General features: G+C 36.8%; 1 annotated feature.

Moving 5' to 3' along the window:
- Positions 6,283 to 6,875: an enhancer, noted in NCBI's record as "OCT4-NANOG hESC enhancer chr3:27981407-27981999 (GRCh37/hg19 assembly coordinates)". NCBI's record gives its function as "activates a minimal SCP1, AML or CMV promoter by ChIP-STARR-seq in naive H9 embryonic stem cells {active_cell/tissue: H9 hESC(naive)}" and the evidence as "EXISTENCE:reporter gene assay evidence [ECO:0000049][PMID:30033119]".

Raw genomic sequence — 19,525 nt, 5'->3', positions numbered from 1 at the left:
GCAGAAGAATGAAACTAGACCCCACCTCTTGCCATGTAAAATATCAAATCAAAATGGATTAAAAACTTAAATCTAAGACATCAAACTATGAAACTATTACAATAAAACATTAGGGAAAAATCTCCAGGGCAAGATCTGGGCAAGAATTTCTTGAGCAGTACCCCATAAGCACAGGCAACCAAGTCAAAAATAAACAAATGGGATCACATCAAGTTAAAAAGCTTCTGCACAGCAAATGATACAGTCAATAAAGTGAAGAGACAACCCACAGAATTAGAAAATATTTGCAAACTACATATCTGACAAGGGATTAATAACCAGAATATATAAGGAACTAAAACAACTCTATAGGAAAAAAATCTAATAATTCAATCAAAAATCAGCAAAAGATTTCAATGGACATTTCTGAAAGAAGCATGCAAATGGCAAACAGGCATATAAAAAGATGTTCAACATCGCTAATCATCAGAGAAATCTGTTCTGAGCAAGTTAAAAATTCTCAAGCACATTTTTGATGATACCTCAAAATTAATTAAGAGGTAGAATTAATTAATTAATTAAACGGAGAATATTAAATTAGTTACCACAACTTTTCATAGACATAGATTCTGTTGTGCAAAGTTATCATTTTCTTTATAAAGATCTTTGGATTTCAAAAAAAAAAAAAACTGAAAAGGCAAAATCTTAGGCCTCACCCCAGAACCAGAATCTGCATTTTAACAAAATCTCCACATGACTGATATATACATCAAAGTGAGAAGCTCTGATCTGGTGGGATTAAATTTCACCTATTGATTCATTTTAAGCACTGAAATCATTTCACGATCATCTTACAGTTGAACTTACTGTATGAAACGGCGACTCTTACCACGAAAAGGGTAATTATGTGAGATGATAGATATGTTAAATTGCTTAATTGTAATGATTTCACTATGTATGTGTATGTCAAACATCATGTTATATACCTTAAATTTATACAATAAAGCAAAAAGAAAAAGGAGGAAAAGTGAAATTAGATCAACTCTGGTTGAAGAGAGTCAAGGAATCCTTAGCCCACCTGCTTGCCCCGAGCTAATAACCCTGAAGCGACTAACGAATCTACCCCATTCCTCCAGCCCCCACCAGGATTCCAAGAAACACAATCTGAAATCTAAATTGGCCCAATACTCTTTTAAAAAATTAAGTTTACAATAAAAACCAGTAGTCAAGGTGGCAGGACAGACTTCTCGGGAAAAAGAAAAAAGAAGAAAGAAAAAGAAGTCCTAACAGACTCACTCCTCTGCTCCCCATAGCCCATTGCCTGCCCTAGATTCACTGTCTTTTCCCATCGTAGCCCAGGCTGTCTATGCTACACTTCATCTGACAGCACAGAGCTGGTCTGTCCCAGTGCACACTGCAAGGAAGAGACATTTCTCGGCACCTGTGTGTCTGTAGGTGCCTCCAGCCAAACCCTGCATTTGAACCATTGGAAATGCAGCTGACCTTCCCGTAGGAGCTGACATCCTTCACTCATAGCACTCATTGGGCAATCAGACAGCATCCCAGTGACATTCTCCACAGCTGCTGGCAATGGCCTTTAATTCATCTGGTATTTAACCAGGGTGAAGCATCCTCTGGCTGTAACATGTTTGTTGGTGTGAGCTGAGCCTGGCTCATCTTCCGCTCCCTCAAGTTCAGGGTTTCACACCAATTTAGAGCCTGCCAGCAATACAGCCATTGTACAAAATACTCTCCTTCCATATTCAGTGTGTGTTTTTGCATTTTTATCCTTTCGGTCACGTCTTGGTCAACGGAGAATCACAGAGTAGAGCTGGAAAAATATCATTTTACAGATAAAGAAATAAGGCCTAGAGGACCATACAACTTGCAAATAGAGTCAGGATGCCGTCAGTCTTTCTGATTCCAGATGCATTTCTCATAGACACATATTATCTCAGTATTAGAGTCCTCATCTCACATCAGGTCAAAGCAGTGTTCAGCCAGGCCTGGAAATCACAGAATATCTTTTAACATCTTAAAGAAACCATGTATTTTTTTGGTAACCCCAAAATATCCATGCAACCGTGTTTATATCTCTCTCCAGAATCTTCTTAGCATGAGTTCTCACAGAGGAAAATGTGAATAAATATCTCTGAATGTAGATTTTGTAATCAAAGCAGGGCCACGTAGGAGGAAACATAGGTATGTGTATGAGAATTCTAATAGTTTTTCAGTGGTTCATAAGCTTCTGACTTGAACCTGTTGAGTTAATTAATCTATGTCACTGGAAGGAAGGACACTCATAAACAGCTCCCATTAGTGGGGTAAATAGGCCCATGACAGGCCCAAAGTCACAACTTTGAGTCTCAGATTCTGCTGTTAAGCTCTTCATATTTCTATCCCACAAGTTTTTGACTCGTATTTGGTCATATTAGTAAAAAGGCGCTCTTCCTGAAAAGTGGACAAAAGCATCACAAACACTTAAAAGAGATTTCCCCAATCATGAATAAAGAAGTGATTATTTTGGCTAATCACCTATTCTAAATGACTTAGCAAGTCCTCATCAATCCTGGTGTACACTCTTGAGAAAACTTATACTTCTCTATAATTACTTGATCAGTATCTCTTTCCCTACTCAACTGGATTCTCCATGAATATGAAGGCTTGGTCTTATTCAAAGCCCTGTTCCTCAATTCCTTTTCACAAGATGCCCAATAAGTATTTTTGGAATTAGTGATCTTTGAGTCAATTTTCTGTTATTGCAAAGATATTGGTTAGAATTATTGTTATTGTTATTTGCAAGTAACCAAAAACACATCATGCTTAAGCAAAATAAGAAATTTATTCCTGCACCCCAGGAACAAACTGAAACCAGGGGATCTTTCTCACTCTCTTCACCACTTTCTTATTCCTACTTCTTTCAGTTCCTTCCTTTTCCCTTGCCTAATTTTCTTTCTCACTACAAATCAGCTTTCTCTGTGTCTCAGTCCACAGGCAAAATTTTACACATCTGTATTTCAGCACCTGGAAAAATATAAAAGAGATTTTAAATCCAATGTCAAGTTTCTGAAGAAGGGACTTACAAGACAATCTCTTTCATAGGGGGAAAGGAGAGGGATCACATTGTGTGGGCGGCTGCTTTCATGTTAGCCATTTGGGTGAGTTTGCCACAGGGCAACTCCTAAAAGGAGATCCACTTCAGGGGCTTTCTATTTTTCCGCATTTCGTCTCGTGTGAACCAGTTGTTCATTTTGTTAACTTTTCCCTTTTTATATTTTTTATTCTTTTCTTTTTTCTTATCAATACTTCATAATTTAGAGTAGAAACCCCTGTAAATATTTTAAGTAAAAGGAATTTAACACAGATAATTAGATGCCTATAAAATCCCTGGAAATTCTATAGGAGCAGGCTCTAGGCTGGCCCCCTAAAAACGACTCCTAAATCATCACAGAACTGGTCCTTAAAAGCTGCTGCTATAATACATCTGCCACCATCAGGAAGAACACGCCACTGCAGCTGAGACCAAAGGAATAAGAAGTCCCCACCGTTCCAGCCCAAATGTCTCCTGACAACCACAAAGGTGGGGATGAGACCCTGGAATGTTACTTTAGACCTCACATCTCCACAGCTGTACCTAAAACCAAAAATGAAGAGCCAACAGCAGCATCTGGCACACTTCTGCCTCTAAATCCTCACAGGAATGCATTAATGGGTGAATCTATTTTGAATCTACCACCCTACCTGCAAAGGAGCCTGGGAAATATCCATTTTTACCTTTCTACCTCTGATGTATTGGAAGGCACATGAAAAGGAGATGGCATAAGATCCTAAGTGCTACTTGACCATGACACACACACACACACACACACACACACACACACACGAGTATGTTCAGAGAGATTTAAATTTTTAAACACGTTGGCCAGTTTTTCTTATTTGTCATTTTTCCCATTGCTTCAAAACTTATAATGTCATCTTATTCCAGGGAGGTTTAATAAGTATTACATCCTGGTTTCTTATTATCTTCTTATTGGTACTATCATTTGATAATAAGACAGACACAAAAACACAAACATAAAAATGTTTGCTGGGAAATTATTGGGGAATGATTATTGTATTTTTTCTCAAAATTATATTCAGCACTATTGTTTTTAGAACCAGAAAATCCCCACAGTGATCAGAAACAATGTGCAGGCTAATACAAATTCTACTTTGGCATTTTTGGCCATTGTAAATGGCCATGGGCAAATCATGTCACAGGACTCTGATGTGCCATTTTTAAATGCATAGGTGAGAAGTTATCCTCAACTCTGGTCTATTCTCAAAAGACAGCTGATGACGCAGAATGCCACAGGATCAGGAAGAGCAAGGCAACTCAGGTGTCATAGGCACCAAGTGACATTCCCTATTTCATTTGAAGCTTAATGCAGAAATGATTTTTATTTTCTTATAACTATTTACCTTGAGGCTTTCTAAACTCTTTGATTTTTTAAAAGTCAGATCCATTAAACCTAGTCAAAAGCAGTCATTTTATTTGGTAGTTAGAAGAAAACTCCCACACGCAGAGATTTGCTTTCATCACACCATATTGGCATCCTCTCCCTCCTCCTTGCGGTAAGCCAAGGGGACTGAATGCCAGTCTATGGAAGATGGTTTTCAAGAAGCAGTGTCTGTCTTTCCACACAAGTCCTGGGGCCGTAGATGGAATTGTGGTCCTTGCAGCTCCCTCAGTAGTACAATTTGTTGCTTTAGTCAATTGAGGGCTCGCTCCAGCTGTTACAACCTTGAAGAAAGCAACCTTCTCCAATGTGCCTTTCAAAGGACTTCATGTCTAAAACACCAAAAGCAATGGCAACAAAAGACAAAATTGACAAATGGGATCTAATTAAACTAAAGAGCTTCTGCACAGCAAAAGAAACTACCATCAGAGTGAACAGGCAACCCACAAAATGGGAGAAAATTTTCACAACCTACTCATCTGACAAAAGGGCTAATATCCAGAATCTACAATGAACTCAAACAAATTTACAAGAAAAAAACAAACAACCCCATCAAAAAGTGGGTGAAGGACATGAACAGACACTTCTCAAAAGAAGACATTTATGCAGCCAAAAAACACATGAAAAAATGCTCACCATCACTGGCCATCAGAGAAATGCAAATCAAAACCACAATGAGATACCATCTCACACCAGTTAGAATGGCAATCGTTAAAAAGTCAGGAAACAACAGGTGCTGGAGAGGATGTGGAGAAATAGGAACACTTTTACACTGTTGGTGGGACTGTAAATTAGTTCAACCATTGTGGAAGTCAGTGTGGCGATTCCTCAGGGATCTAGAACTAGAAATACCATTTGACCCAGCCATCCCATTACTGGGTATATACCCAAAGGACTATAAATCATGCTGCTATAAAGACACATGCACACGCATGTTTATTGCAGCACTATTCACAATAGCAAAGACTTCGAACCAACCCAAATGTCCAACAATGATAGCCTGGATTAAGAAAATGTGGCACATATATACCATGGAATACTATGCAGCCATAAAAAATGATGAGTTCATGTCCTTTGTAGGGACATGGATGAAATTGGAAATCATCATTCTCAGTAAACTATTGCAAGGACAAAAACCCAAACACCGCATGTTCTCACTCATAGGTGGGAATTGAACAATGAGAACACATGGACACAGGAAGGGGAACATCACACTCTGGGGACTATTGTGGGGTGGGGGGAGGGGGAAGGGATAGCATTAGGAGATATACCTAGTGCTAAATGATGAGTTGATGGGTGCAGCACAGCAGCATGGCACATGTATACATATGTAACTAACCTGCACATTGCGCACATGTACCCTAATACTTAAAGTATAATAATAATTAAATAAATAAATAAATAAATAAATAAATAAAAACACAATATAAAAAAAAAAAAGACTTTGGTGAGCCACTTCCCCCACCTTGATTGTGGGCAATTATGTGTGGTCTGCTGAAGGAGGAAGTTCATTGATACTGTATTCTAAATCAGTAGTTCTCAATCTTTACATCAAAATAAACTTTAGAGATTTAAAAAAAAATTATATAGATACTCCCAGAGATTCAGATTCAATTGCCGGGCATGGGCCTAAGTATCAGTATTTTTAAGCAATCCAGGTGATTCTATTCTGCAGCCACAATTGACAACCACTGCCTAAAATTTTAACCAGCTATAGTGACCAATTTGTCCTTGTTTGTCCAGGTTTCCTCATTTTAAAACTGTAAGTCTCATGCCCAAGGAAGCTTTCAGTCCCAGGTAAACCAGAACAATTGGTAACCCCAGGCCTAGAAGTCTGTGCTCTCAACCTCCTAAAGAAGACCTGAGTCATATAAATCATATAAATGCACAGGCTCTGTAATTATGAAGAGGAAGTAGCACTAGGCTCACAGTCCAAAAACCCAAGTTTAAGCCTTTCTTTTTGCCATTCCTAACTATGCGACTTTGGGGAGAGTCACTTAACTCCTTACAGATTGAGTGTCCTCAGTTCCCTGCTTCTTCACTGCCATGTCATTATGGGGATCAAATAACAGCTCACATACCAGAAGAGGAGACTGAAGTTCAAGGAGGATAAATGACAATGCTGGGGTCATTGAGTCCGTAAGACATGTGACCTGACTTCCAGGCCTGATTGTCTTCCACTGCAGCTGTCATGTAAGAATGCAAAGAGGGATTCTCATGGCTACGACTGACCTATGAATCACCATCGCAGGCTGAGAGCAAAGCAGCGGGCCATTCACATTCCACACACTAGCTTCAGTGTGTATATTTATGAACTTTTCTCTTTGATGTTTATTTTGAAGTAGGATTGTCTGTATTCAATGTGTTTGGAGGAGATAGCTTAATTTGCCCCAACTTCCAGCTCCTGGGGGTGGGTGTAGACTGTGCCTGAGCAGGTGCTTGAAGGGAAAATTTCAGCTACCTCTCCCATCATTGTGTTACAACTGCCTACAGTATTCAGTACAGTAATATGCTATACAGGTTTGTAGCCTAGGAGCAATAGGCTACACCATTCAGCCTATGTGTGTAGCAGGCTATACCATGCAGGTGTGTATTAGTACACTCTGTGATGTTCAGATGATGAAATCATCTAATGATGCATTTCTCAGAACATCTACCCATCATTAAGCAATGCATGACTGTAGTTGCCTAGTGAGAATCACAAAATCTTTCTCTAATTAGAATTTGTACTTAAAGGATATTACTGTGTACCTTTAAAATAGCACACAAGCCACATAAAATGTAATATTCAACAAAACATATTTGCTAATCCAGTTCAAATAGAAAAATAATTTTTAATATTAAATTAAATGCTATTTAATATTTAAATTATCATTAATATCATTTTGAATATTTTTATGGGCAAGATACTTTATATAATTACATTTCATCATCATTATTGTCTTCTAAGGCATTATTACCTCATTTTTAAGAAGAGAAAATAGGCTCTGTGAGTTTAACTGACTTGTTTGGTGTCACTTAGCTAGATTGCTGGTAGGGGAGGGACTTGTAATTTGCCTGACTACCATTTTCTCTTATTCTACACATTCTACCTAATGTCTAAATAGTTCCCTCAACAGAATCTATGTGTTTCTAGGATCACTATTTATCCTTTGTCTCCTATCACCTAGTACATAAATGTTTAGTATCTTAGAATCCCAACTTTCCATATATTTCACCATATACCCCTTTAAATTCTCTATGAAGTGTCTGACCAGATCACAGACAAAGGAGAATTGGGGCTAGACTTATCAGTCCCTTCTCTCTAACTCAGTGAATATCTCACTACCATTGACCAGCTGGATGTCAGCATGTCACACATTATTCTGAGAGCGTAGTAAGAGCCCCTCAGGTCGGCAGATAATCAAGAAACAGTGTTACGAGAGTTGACATCTTATGAATAATTATTTTAAAAATCTGTTCATTTATGTCCCTTCAACTCCAGATGAACGAGTTGGTTCTACCAAGTTGCTCAGTCAAACTGTGATGGGAACATTTCTTAAACAAGATGCCAGTTGCCCTTATTTTTTTAAAGCAACTTTATCCAAGGGCTATATTGTGAGAGTGTATTGTTAAAGAGTATATGAAAACTGAGTGTAAAACAGGGAACTCTTGGACTCTTCCGGGAATTCCTCTTAGAGTTGTTGGGCCTTAGTTCTTTTCCTGTTTCATATCAGCATCTAAACATATCTAAACATAGAACAGATACAGTAAAAATATGGTATTATAATCTTATGGGAACTCTATTATATACATATATATATATGTAGTCCATTGTTAACTGAAACATTGTTGTGTGGTGCATGATTGTATATTATTTTATGTCTATTATGCAATTGTCTTCTAGATTGGTTTCAGAAAGGCTCAGGTCTTTGTTATGATTCTTCCCTATGTTAGCTAAGTGGCCTTCACAAAAGCAACCTATGTGGGACAGGATGTTTATTTTATGCATAAAATAGGACAATCTTACCCTTCTTACCTCACAGGGTTTCAGAAAAAGGCCAAAGAAAATGTGTACAAAGCTGTAAAGTACAATAGTAATGAGAAAGATCATTATTCTGAAGAGTCCTGTGAACTCCTGAAATTCACATCTGTGGGCTTAGAGAAGTAGGTTTTCACTGGGTATATAGGCTATAAACCCAGAGAAATCTTGAGACATCAGGGTTGAACCAAGTCCGCCTCCTGGGGTTGAACTGTCTTCTTCCATATCTTGTGGGGAAATTACTCTGTCTTGACCAGTATCCTGCAATACTCCTTAGGTAGAGCCATTTTTCCTCCTTCCCTATACCCTAATACTACTTGCATAGGTCATAAAAGAGGCCACACTCAGAGATAAATATCAGTCAGGCTTAAGAATTTTCATAACAGAACGTCAACCTTACTCCACAGCACAGGGATTCACTTTAGGCAAAAGCACAGAAGCTCTAAATTCAATGGCCACCAGAGAAGGTAACACTGAACTCCCTAATTTCTCTATCCTACATTTCAAAAACCAGTTTAAAAAATGGATTCTTAAGACAGATAGTCAAATCATGGTTCAATCTTTTAATATATGAGGATTCCTTATAAGCCTAAACAATTATCAAGGCCCTCCCCAAATGATAGTAGTTTTATTTAGTAACCATTGAGAAAATACATAGTCATCAAAGACACCACCCACCACCATGAGTTCAAAAGCATTATAATAAAAAACTTCACCTATACCTGCAAGAACAGCCATACACATCTGTGTGAGATCTGTTTATTCAGTCTGTTGGGAATATGTGGTGAAGAAACTCTTATGAAAGCTACTGAGGTCTGCATGAGTACTTTGGACGCTGGTTGAGAATCACTACTCCTAGATCAGAAAGGCTTTCATTTCCTTGGCTTTGCCCCAGCGAAAACACCTTCACTCTGCTATACTTGAATATGTTATACTCAGCTTTTATGGAAGTTTGAATAATGATCATTATGTTATCTTACACCACTTATAAGCAGACAATGAATTTGTTTCAGAATTTAATGCCAGAATATGCTTTTATTTCCTAAATAACAAATGCATAGTTTTGATAGCATAATAAAAATTGTTCAGGCAAGTGACAAATATATAAAGGAATATGCTTGCCTGCCCAGGACAGCCTTCTAGAGTGGCAGTTCCAGAGTCTGATCCTTTAATCACAGCAGTTTCTGCCAGACTCAAAACTGACCCACACTAACCAAACTCGAGAGACCAATAGATAAATCAGAATGCTAACATGTGATTTCACAAAAGAGGAGATACCTTATCCAGTGAAAGAACACCAGTGTCCATTATCCAGCATACTGCCTACCCAGTATTAAAGTATTTAAGGGTCAAATTATTCGTCAAAGCTTGGCTAGTGAATATTGACTCTGACAAACACAACCAGCAGTTTCTTGTAAGTTTATTTCTCCTTTTTTATGTACCTGGCCAAAAACATTCTTAAGGACACTGCTTCAAACAATCTCTGTGCTTGTTTCTGTCTTTCTTGATAAGATTTTTAATAAATTTTCATCCAACTTGAAGTGCCCCTACCTCTATGGTTGGGTTCACCTAGAAGCAGACCATAAGAAAAAGAATAAATTCAAATCATTTATATGGAAGGAGATTCCAGCCACCACTGATGAGAGTTGGGAAGTGTATTAGTCGGTTCTTGCATGGCTATAAAGAACTACCTGAGATTGGGTAATTTATAAAGAAAAGAAGTTTAATCTACTCACAGTTCCACATGGCTAGGGAGGCCTCAGGAAACTTACAATCATAGCAGAAGGTGAAAGAGAAGTAGGCACATCTTCACCTAGCCAAAGCAGGAGGAAGAGAGAGCAAAGGGGGAAGAGAGCTACACACTTTTAAATATCCAGATCTTATGAGAACACTGTCATGAGACAGCACTAGGGGGATGGTGCTCAGCCATTAGAAATGACCACCATGACCAATGGCCTCCTAACAGGCCCCTCCTCCAACACTGCGGATTACAATTTGACAGGAAATTTGGGTGGGGACACAGAGCCAAACCATATCAGGAAATAAGATGAAAAGGGTGAAAAAAACTCATCTTAGGGTGTGTTAGGGAGCAGGTTATCATTGTGGCATCTGGATCTCAATCCCACTGGAGATCTTTGGGGGATGACAGAGCACTCCTTAGTAGTTTTTTTGCCATATGGCTTCCTCAGTATGGCTGCTTATTTCAAGTGAGCAAGGAGGATCTCTGCTAAGAAGTCTTATGTAACATAGCATCATCACAGGGGTGACATCTCTCACTTTTGCCATATAGTGTAACCTAATCAAGTGGGTGACATCCCATCATTTTTGACATATTATATTGGTTAGAGGCAAGTCCCAGGTCCTGCACACACTCCAGAGAATGAGATTACACAAAGGAGTACACATTACGGAGTGGAAAATCACTGGAGATCACCTTAGGGTCTGTCAGCCACAGACACACAGTGAGTACTCAATAAATATTAATTTGCTTCTTTTGTCTTGAATTCTTTCATGACTACATATATTATTACCATCACAATACATGTAAACTGGCATAAAGATCCATGATGGACATTGACATTTGGGATTGAGAAAACAATTCAGACATGACAGCTCCATGGTGACACTGTCAGATCACATTACCTGCCAGTGCACAGTTATCACACATTTAATGTGGTGAAATGTTATGGCCACATCACAGTCAGGTTGAGTTGATGGTTTTAATTTGGGTATAAGGCTAGAGCTATGCTGATGCTTTTCACCGCTGGCTAGACCAAGGGGAGTCACATTTCCATGAGTTTCTGCTATCAAGAGGAAAGCTTTGTTTCCTCTTCATCTTGAACTTTTCAAGCACATGAAAGCTAGTACTTACCAGGTGGAAAAAACTGTCATTAGACATTAGTCCCTTGCATTTTATATTGAATGAGATTCTGAGTGAGTTATGAAAATATAGGAGTTGGCATATTCAAGCTCTGGGAACTCCAAGTGGCAATTGAAATTTGGCTTTCCTAAGGACTTGATGAAAAAGCTCGTAGAAGTCCACGGACAGTAGCTTCCTCAAAGTCACCCAAGGATAAGCTGCAAAAATGCTTTATATGCATGTAGCCACTGTCATTTCCAACTCCTCTTCCAACCCTGCTGAATGGATCTCCAAGAAAAAAAAGTGCCTTGGCAGTCAGCCTTTATTGCAACAAGAAACTTTCATGATTCAACTTTGAGGATTATATTCTTGGAGTTGACCCCTGTTGATTTTTAAGAGATTAGGCTTGTTTTATTTATTGCTGATGGTATTACCAATGTATATGGGCTGAGGACTCTAAAAGTGAAGTAGCAGGATTTTCTTTGGTTTTAAATGTCTTGTCCATGAACTCAGAACCTGCGAAGTCTGAGGTTGTAAAATTGGAAACAGTAAACACTGTAAAGAAGGCAGACGCTATTTTAGAAGTTCTAATTTATAAAGTTCTGCTGTCCACCTGTAGATATCCTTGATGATGTCATTGGTGAAAAGGGTCCAATTAGTCCTAAAACTCACAGGACACTTGATCCAAAAACCACCAGAATAATTCCCACAGCTCTATGCAGTCCACCATTAAGGTTGTGAATACCTTGGCATTAATTGTCAGTCGTCAACTCAAGTCAGCTATTAGTGAAAAACAACCTCTCACAACATCAATTTTTACTGACCCTATTATTAACCAAAGACATTTAATATAAAGCTGATAGAAATATTTCTATTGATCATAAGAAATCAAGTCAATCCCAGTTGATAAGGAGGCTTATGGAATTAGGTGTCATAAGGTACACCACTACAATTTCAGTCATTGGTTCTGATCTTCTCCTTCCTTCCATCCTTTGGCACCTAGCTCCATACTCTGGTTTCTCATTCTTGCAGTTTATGAATAATGGAAATCTTGTTCTACTCATCTCTGAGGACTTATCCAGATAATAACATCTGTTGGTTATTGTCAGATGTTTCTATTGTTCTGCTGCTCCCTGATTTTGAGGCTTGCCGTGGTGATGCCTTCTCCCAATGAGAAGAGTGAGTATGTTGGTGGTAAGCTTCCTGGCTCCTCTGTTGGACATCTAAAAAGATGATGCGTATGCTTACATTTTTTTAAATTTCATTTCATCATAGATCTTCATCACCTAGGTCTTTCATCACAGATCTTCTAGTGAATAGAATTATCTATACAAGAATTCACCCTATCTTTAATAGATGATCTGTGACTTAAGTTGGTTCAGGGCTTTGAAGCTAATAGGATATAACATTGAGTGATAATACAGAGTTATAAAATTGCTGCTTTTTTCTTAGATTTTTTCTGAACTAGGTGCTGCCACCCAAATTTGGAGAGTTTTCTCAGCCATGTGACCAGTTGCCTTATGAGTTTTATCAGGAACTACTGGAAATGTTACCCATTTATCAGATGCAAAGCTGAGGAATATCGTCTCAAGCTTCCTGAATGACTTTACATCTTAAATACCTGTGGATTCATACATTACACATGAGGTTGCTTCTGACATTATTTTTTAATGATATTTTGATATAGACTTCAATAGTACATCATTTTGTACAGAAATGTCATTAAAAATAACTTTTTTTTAGCTCATTGCATAACAAGGGGAAGAAGTATAAGGAAATACATAAAATCACGGCTCTGGGGTCAGATGGCCCTGAGTTGAATTCTGTGTCTGTCACATACCACCTGGTATCCTTGAGCAAGCTACTTAAACTCTCTAAGCCTTAATTTCTTTATTACTAAAGTGAGGATAACAGTAGCTACTTCATAGAACTGTTGTGATGATTGTGTGGGTTACCTGAAATAATCCATGTAAGATGCTTTGTATAGGGTCTGGCATATATTAAACACAAAACAAATCTTTATTTCTGCTGTTCTTGTTATTATTTCAAAAAAGCCCTGGCTAGTTTAGAACTAGAAAATGTAGACTAAAAAATAAGTCATACTTTAAGCAGATTAGTTAGGACAGTGCTATCCAATAGAAATATTATATGATTCAAGCTTCATATGTAAATTTAAATGTCCTAGTAGTCTCATTAAAAAATATAAAAAGGCAGAGGTGAAATTAAATATGTTTTATGTAACCGAATAGATGTAATCTAATATATCTGAATTATTATTTCATTATGTAATCAATATAAAAATTATTAATGAGGTATTTTCATTTCTTTTTCATACTCAGTCTTTGAAATCTAATGTGGATTTTATACTTCCAGCACATCTTTGTGTGGACCAGCCACATTTAAAGTGCTCAATAGTCACCAAAGCTACTGGCTACTGTCTTCGAAAGCACAATGTTAGAAACTTTTATTTTAAATGGACTCTTGAAGGTTTCTCCTGTTGTGCAGGTGGTGAATGTAGTGGGAGTGATATACACCAGTGACTCTCAAATATGCAGAAGAATCACTAGAGGGTAGGTTAACATGAAAATTCCTAGGTCCCAACTCTAAAGATTCTGATTAATTGGGTCTGGCATAAGGATTAAGAATTTGCATTTCCAAGCTTGGCATGGTGGCTCACATCTGTAATCCTAGCACTTTGGAAAGCCAAGGCAGGCAGATTACTTGAGGTCAAGAGTTTGAGACCAACCTGGCCAACATGGTGAAACCCTGTCTCTACTGAAAATACAAAAATTAGCCAGATGTGGTGGTGCACACTTGTAATCCCAGCTACTCGGGAGGCTGAGACAGGAGAGAATTGCTTGAAGTCGGGAGTCAGAGGTTGCAGTGAGCCGAGATAGTGCCACTGCACTCCAGCCTGGGTGACAGAGCGAGACTCTGTCTCAAAAAAAAAAAAAAAAAAAAAAAAGAATTTGCATACCCAGCAAGCTCCCAATTGATGTTCCGTGGACCATATTTTTGAATACCATTTGTGCAAAGTTTCTCTTTTTGAATTTTACCATTAACTTTGCTGTTTTCATAAGTTTTTCAAACAGAAAAGACTAGATATGCTTATTGTGGCCACAATAATAGAAATAACTTTTCCAAGGCACACATATCAGTCCCTGCTTTTAACAGCCCTACACACTTACAGAGTCAAAAACTGGCAGCCTGTTCACACTACTCTGCCAGATGTTGAGCCACTGGGGCCCAATCCTGGTCATATCTGAGGAGCCTCATCTCCACCATGTTGCTTGGTCTTAATACCCTAAATCTGGTGATTTGGCATGGATCCCCTTCAGCTCTGTGCCTCCTCAGTGGTAACCTCTTCCTTTTAATCATCAGGGGCTCTGCCATTACTATTACATTGAGTGTGCATTTCAGATAATTTAGTACAATGAAGCTGCTCAATTTACATGGTAATTTTGTTCTAAAAATCAGTTTAGTATGTCTAGCAATGTCCTTCTTTGTGGTACATATTCATTGCCTCTTCTTTTGCTTGAATATAAATGACACCAGTATTTAGGCAGTAGGTCATCTGTGTAAACAGATATCTTCAGGTTAGTGTTTACATGTTGAATAATCTTCATGACTTATGATATTTTCATTGAAAAATGATGTTAAATGATTGTGGTGAAAACTATGGGTTGCTCTTGTATTTATAGAGAAAGCATCCACCATCTTGTTTTACTAAGGCACTATTTCAACAATCCACCTGTCTGGTGCCCCCTAGATGAAGATATTTAATGAAATCTCCATACCGTTTTCCCTTAAAGAAAGCTCTTTATCATTTAGTTGGGGAATACTATGTAGACAAAGGAAAAATGTCTTAGTAGTGTTTAAGTCCACTAAAAACACCAATAAGTGCGGTGTGCCTGGTGATCAATACAAAGGGAAGAAGGAAATGGACCGAATAAATATACATAAGTTTAAATGATAGCTCTGCCATTTAACAGCTTTGTAATATTAGGCAAGTTAGGCTACTTATTTATTTCTATAAGCTCAGTTTCTTCATCTGCAAAACAGGAATAACGAAACTTCTATTTAACGAAGTGACTATGAAGATTAAATAAGGTAATCTAAGTCCAGCCTTAGATTACTCAATATAAGTCAGCTGTTATTGTTGTTACAGAAGAGAAAGAAAATATTGTTAGTTTGGTAATCTGAAGGGCATCATGGAAGAGATGGCATTTGAGTTAGGTCTTGGAAATTGCTAGGAATTGCTTGGTCTTGATTTTTTAAATTATCTTAAAACATGTACTACAAATCCACTGCATAAAAGATTAAAATTGTAATGAAGAAAAAAATGATTTCACCTTTCCAAGGTGAATAAAATATTAACACTGATAATATTTTAGTGTGCTTTCTCATTCATCACTTGTGTATTTTTTATTATTTTATGTGGGACAAGGTGTTAAATACAACTCTTCCTTTTTACAGGATGAGGTTTTACAGGATGCCAAGTGCCACTCTAAAGCAAGGAACTAAACCATCTATACAGAAATTGCATTTGGGGTGCTCTTTTGCCAGCATTATTCCACTTCATCCTAAAAAAGAAAAGGTAAAGACGTCATTAGGAAGTAGGGAGATTTGTAAAAAAATAATTCCTTTAGGTCAATGGACCTGGACAATTTTGCCCCACCAAGGACATTTGACAACATTTGCAGATATTTTTGGTTGTCACAGCTGGGAGTTGATGCTACTAGCATCTTGGAGGTAGAGACCAGGGATACTGCTTAATATCTACAACACACAGGACAGCCTCCCACAACAAAAGATTATCAAGTGGCAAATGTTAATAGTGCCTACTGCGATAGCTTGGCTAAGGTCCTCTGAAATTTGGTAAACACACATAGCAGTATTTGATTCACCCTTGGGAAAGCTCTGAAGAGCAAGGGCTGACTGCAGCTATCAGTGGCAAAAGAAGAAAGAAAAAGAAGCTCAAGATAAGAAGTACTTGCACTTTGAGAGTGCAGTGGGTTAAGGACCCCTGAGTTTTCTGGGCTAAATGAACAATGACTTGAATCATTTCAAAAAGGATCTGTTGTAAACCAGATCTCCAGAACTTTTTCATCTTGCAAAACTGAAACTCTATACCCATTAAATGGCAACTCCTGGTTTCCCCTTCTCCTACCCCTAACAACCACCATCCTACTTTCTATTTCTATGAATTGAACTACTTTAGATATAAGAGGAATAATACAGTATATGTATATGTCTTCTTGTGACTGGCTTATTTCACTCAGCATATTTTCAAGGTTCATCCATATTGTTGCAAATGAAAGGATTTCCTTTGTTATTGAGGCTGAATAACATGTCATTGTATGTGTGTACCACATTTTGTTTATCCATTCATCTCTCAGTGTTTTTTAAGGAATTCATCCATTCTTATTGACATGGAAGTAGAGAATAAATTGACCCATTGTCCCCTCTATGAATTGTTTGTACATACTAAATTCTGTGGAGACTAGTTATATCCTTTCCTTTTCACTCCTAGCATTCAATGATTAAAATAATTTTTTCTCACTCGTGACTTTTCATTTTAAGTTTTCCTGATCATGATATATTGTTTTCTTATCTTTCAAATATTTGGGCAGAAATAATGTGATTGTGTAGTACATTTATCTTGGAATGTGTAATATATTTAAATTATATTTATATAATGAACCATTAAACTTTAATAGCAATTAACATTTTGTGAGAAAATTTTCACAGCTACCAATAAATAATTGCTATAATTAGATTATTTTGTGGTAATGGTAAAGGAACGTTACTTATTATAGCATAATTTACATCATAATACTATGAAAGTATTCTTAAACTTAAATTGGAAATGCCACAGCATCTTTTTAGTAAAATAAATGCCAAATGCTATGAACTAATAAATGAAACACAAAATTTAGTAAAATATTACCAATAAGGATTTTTTCTTTCTTTATTTTAAGGTATTTTCTCAGGAGTACATGAATGAAAAATAACTTCTAATATTAGAAACATTGTTTATTGTTACATCAATAAAATCTTTTGCTTGTTGAATTTGTTCCTTTCTTCATGAGTTAAAGCAAAATATCTATCTACTCTGCTATGAATGACACTTTACTTGATTGGTCAGAGAATTGTCCTAATAAATACACAAATAGCCTATCTTTGAAACCTAAAAAATTACAATAAAATATTTTAAAAGGTTCAAAATACTAAACCTGTCTACAATATGAATGACATTATCTTAATTATCTTGTCCTTGTATAGGACACATCCTGGATATCCATAAGCAGCAGCCATGTTCCTTTGTTGGAGACACACATTCTGAATGTCTGGAGACCACTGCACTAGCATAATGTAAGCACTAATCAACATGGGCATTACTGTTACTATTATTAAAAACAAAATTTAAAGTAGTTAATTTTATCAACCTATGGTTTATGATTTTCTCCATAAGTTTTGCATTTGATTTTTCCTTATAGAGTTGTTTCCACCTTTGAGATTATGGCACTAATTATCTATATTTTCTGCTATTTTAATATTTAAAAATGTTTTAATTGTGTTAAATTTATGTTGATCCATAATACATATTAAGAATTGAATTTCCCCCAAAATTTTGTCTATTGTGTAATCACACTTTATTTAATAATTTTTCTCTAGTCATTTCTGAAAAATTTTTCATATACTGGAGTCTGTTTCTGGAATGTTTTATATGTGTCTATTTGTTTACCACCGACACTATTTTATTCACTATAGCTTTATAACACATTTTATTATCTGAGAGAATGAATCTTTACTCTTTATGCTTTGGTTCTCTTTTTTCATAAAATATTTTTGCACATTTGTTTTTTCAGAAATATAATATCAGATTTCAGAGTACAGAGATAAAGAGACAAAAGATATTCCACAAAGGGAAACAAAGGTGAAAAACAAACAAACAAATAAACAAAAAAACACCCAATGAAGGGATGCTCCCTAGGCCCAAAATAAGGTTGTGTTTTAGAAAGTCATCTTTTTTTTTTTTTTTCTCATCTCTACTATCTTAAAGCTAGATTTGTCTTCTGGTTTGAATAAGCTAGATTAAAAAATTAGGGAAGGATAAAATTTACACGTACTCTAGTGGAAATGCATATCAATACAGGAGTCTTATCACAGCATTCGTATCTTATTTAATTTGCTCTTTAGAGCATGTCTATGTAAATAGAAAGTTTCCAAAAATATTCTGAGGAAGTAAAATTTTATGATCATAATGGGTTTTCCTGAATGTGATAGTTGCCTCACACTGCCTTCCACAGAAACCCTTCCTCCCACCACTTTTTGTGAAGTGTCATATAGTCTTTTAGTAAACCTGAGTCAAGATTCAAGGAAGTCCCTGGTTTTAAAATTGGGAGGTTTTGGCCTGGTTTCATTTTGAGATTTTGGAGGTAAGAGAAACTCAAAACAAAATGAAAGCTCTGTAAATATCCAAACCTCCATTTTACAATAAATATTTTCTAATGCCTTGTGTTCTGTTCTGAATGAAATTTATAACAATTTAACCCCCACACACAGATTTTTAAAAATCAACATTATGTTCTGACTTTAATATAAAGGAGAAACAGAATGAAAGAAATTTATAATTTCAATATGTAAATGCTTGGTACAGTCACACTAAAAGGTATAGTGAAGTTGTTAGATATTGAACACCATGAACAAAATAGCTACAAATTCAGACCAGTGGGTTGTCTGTGGTGGTGACAACTCAAAACCCTAAGTTCAACAATTGTTAGTAATGTGATATTCCACAATGGTAAACAACTTTTGATAAAGTTCAGCCTAAACCAAAGTACAATCTTCTCTTGATTTTTATGTTATGGCACACTTGAAAAAGTCAGTGGATATGTAAAACAAGCTGCAATCTAGGCTCATCTGATACACATCCACTTCCTCAATGCATTCTAAAAGTACTGTAAATTCTTGACTTTCCTAAGGCATAGGTCTCTATGGGCCACCAAACATGACATTCCCAATATCATAGTGGAATAGAAGGCTGAATCCACCATGATAATCCCAGGTATTTCAGACAGACAGGAGTGAGCACAGATTGGAGAAAGGAGGATGGGTGGAAGACCACCCAAAATGAGCTCTCAAACACAAATGCCAAACTAT

Source organism: Homo sapiens, chromosome 3 (genome assembly GCF_000001405.40).
Source record: "Homo sapiens chromosome 3, GRCh38.p14 Primary Assembly".
Lineage (NCBI taxonomy): Eukaryota > Metazoa > Chordata > Mammalia > Primates > Hominidae > Homo > Homo sapiens.
This window is presented reverse-complemented; position numbering and strand designations above follow the sequence as displayed.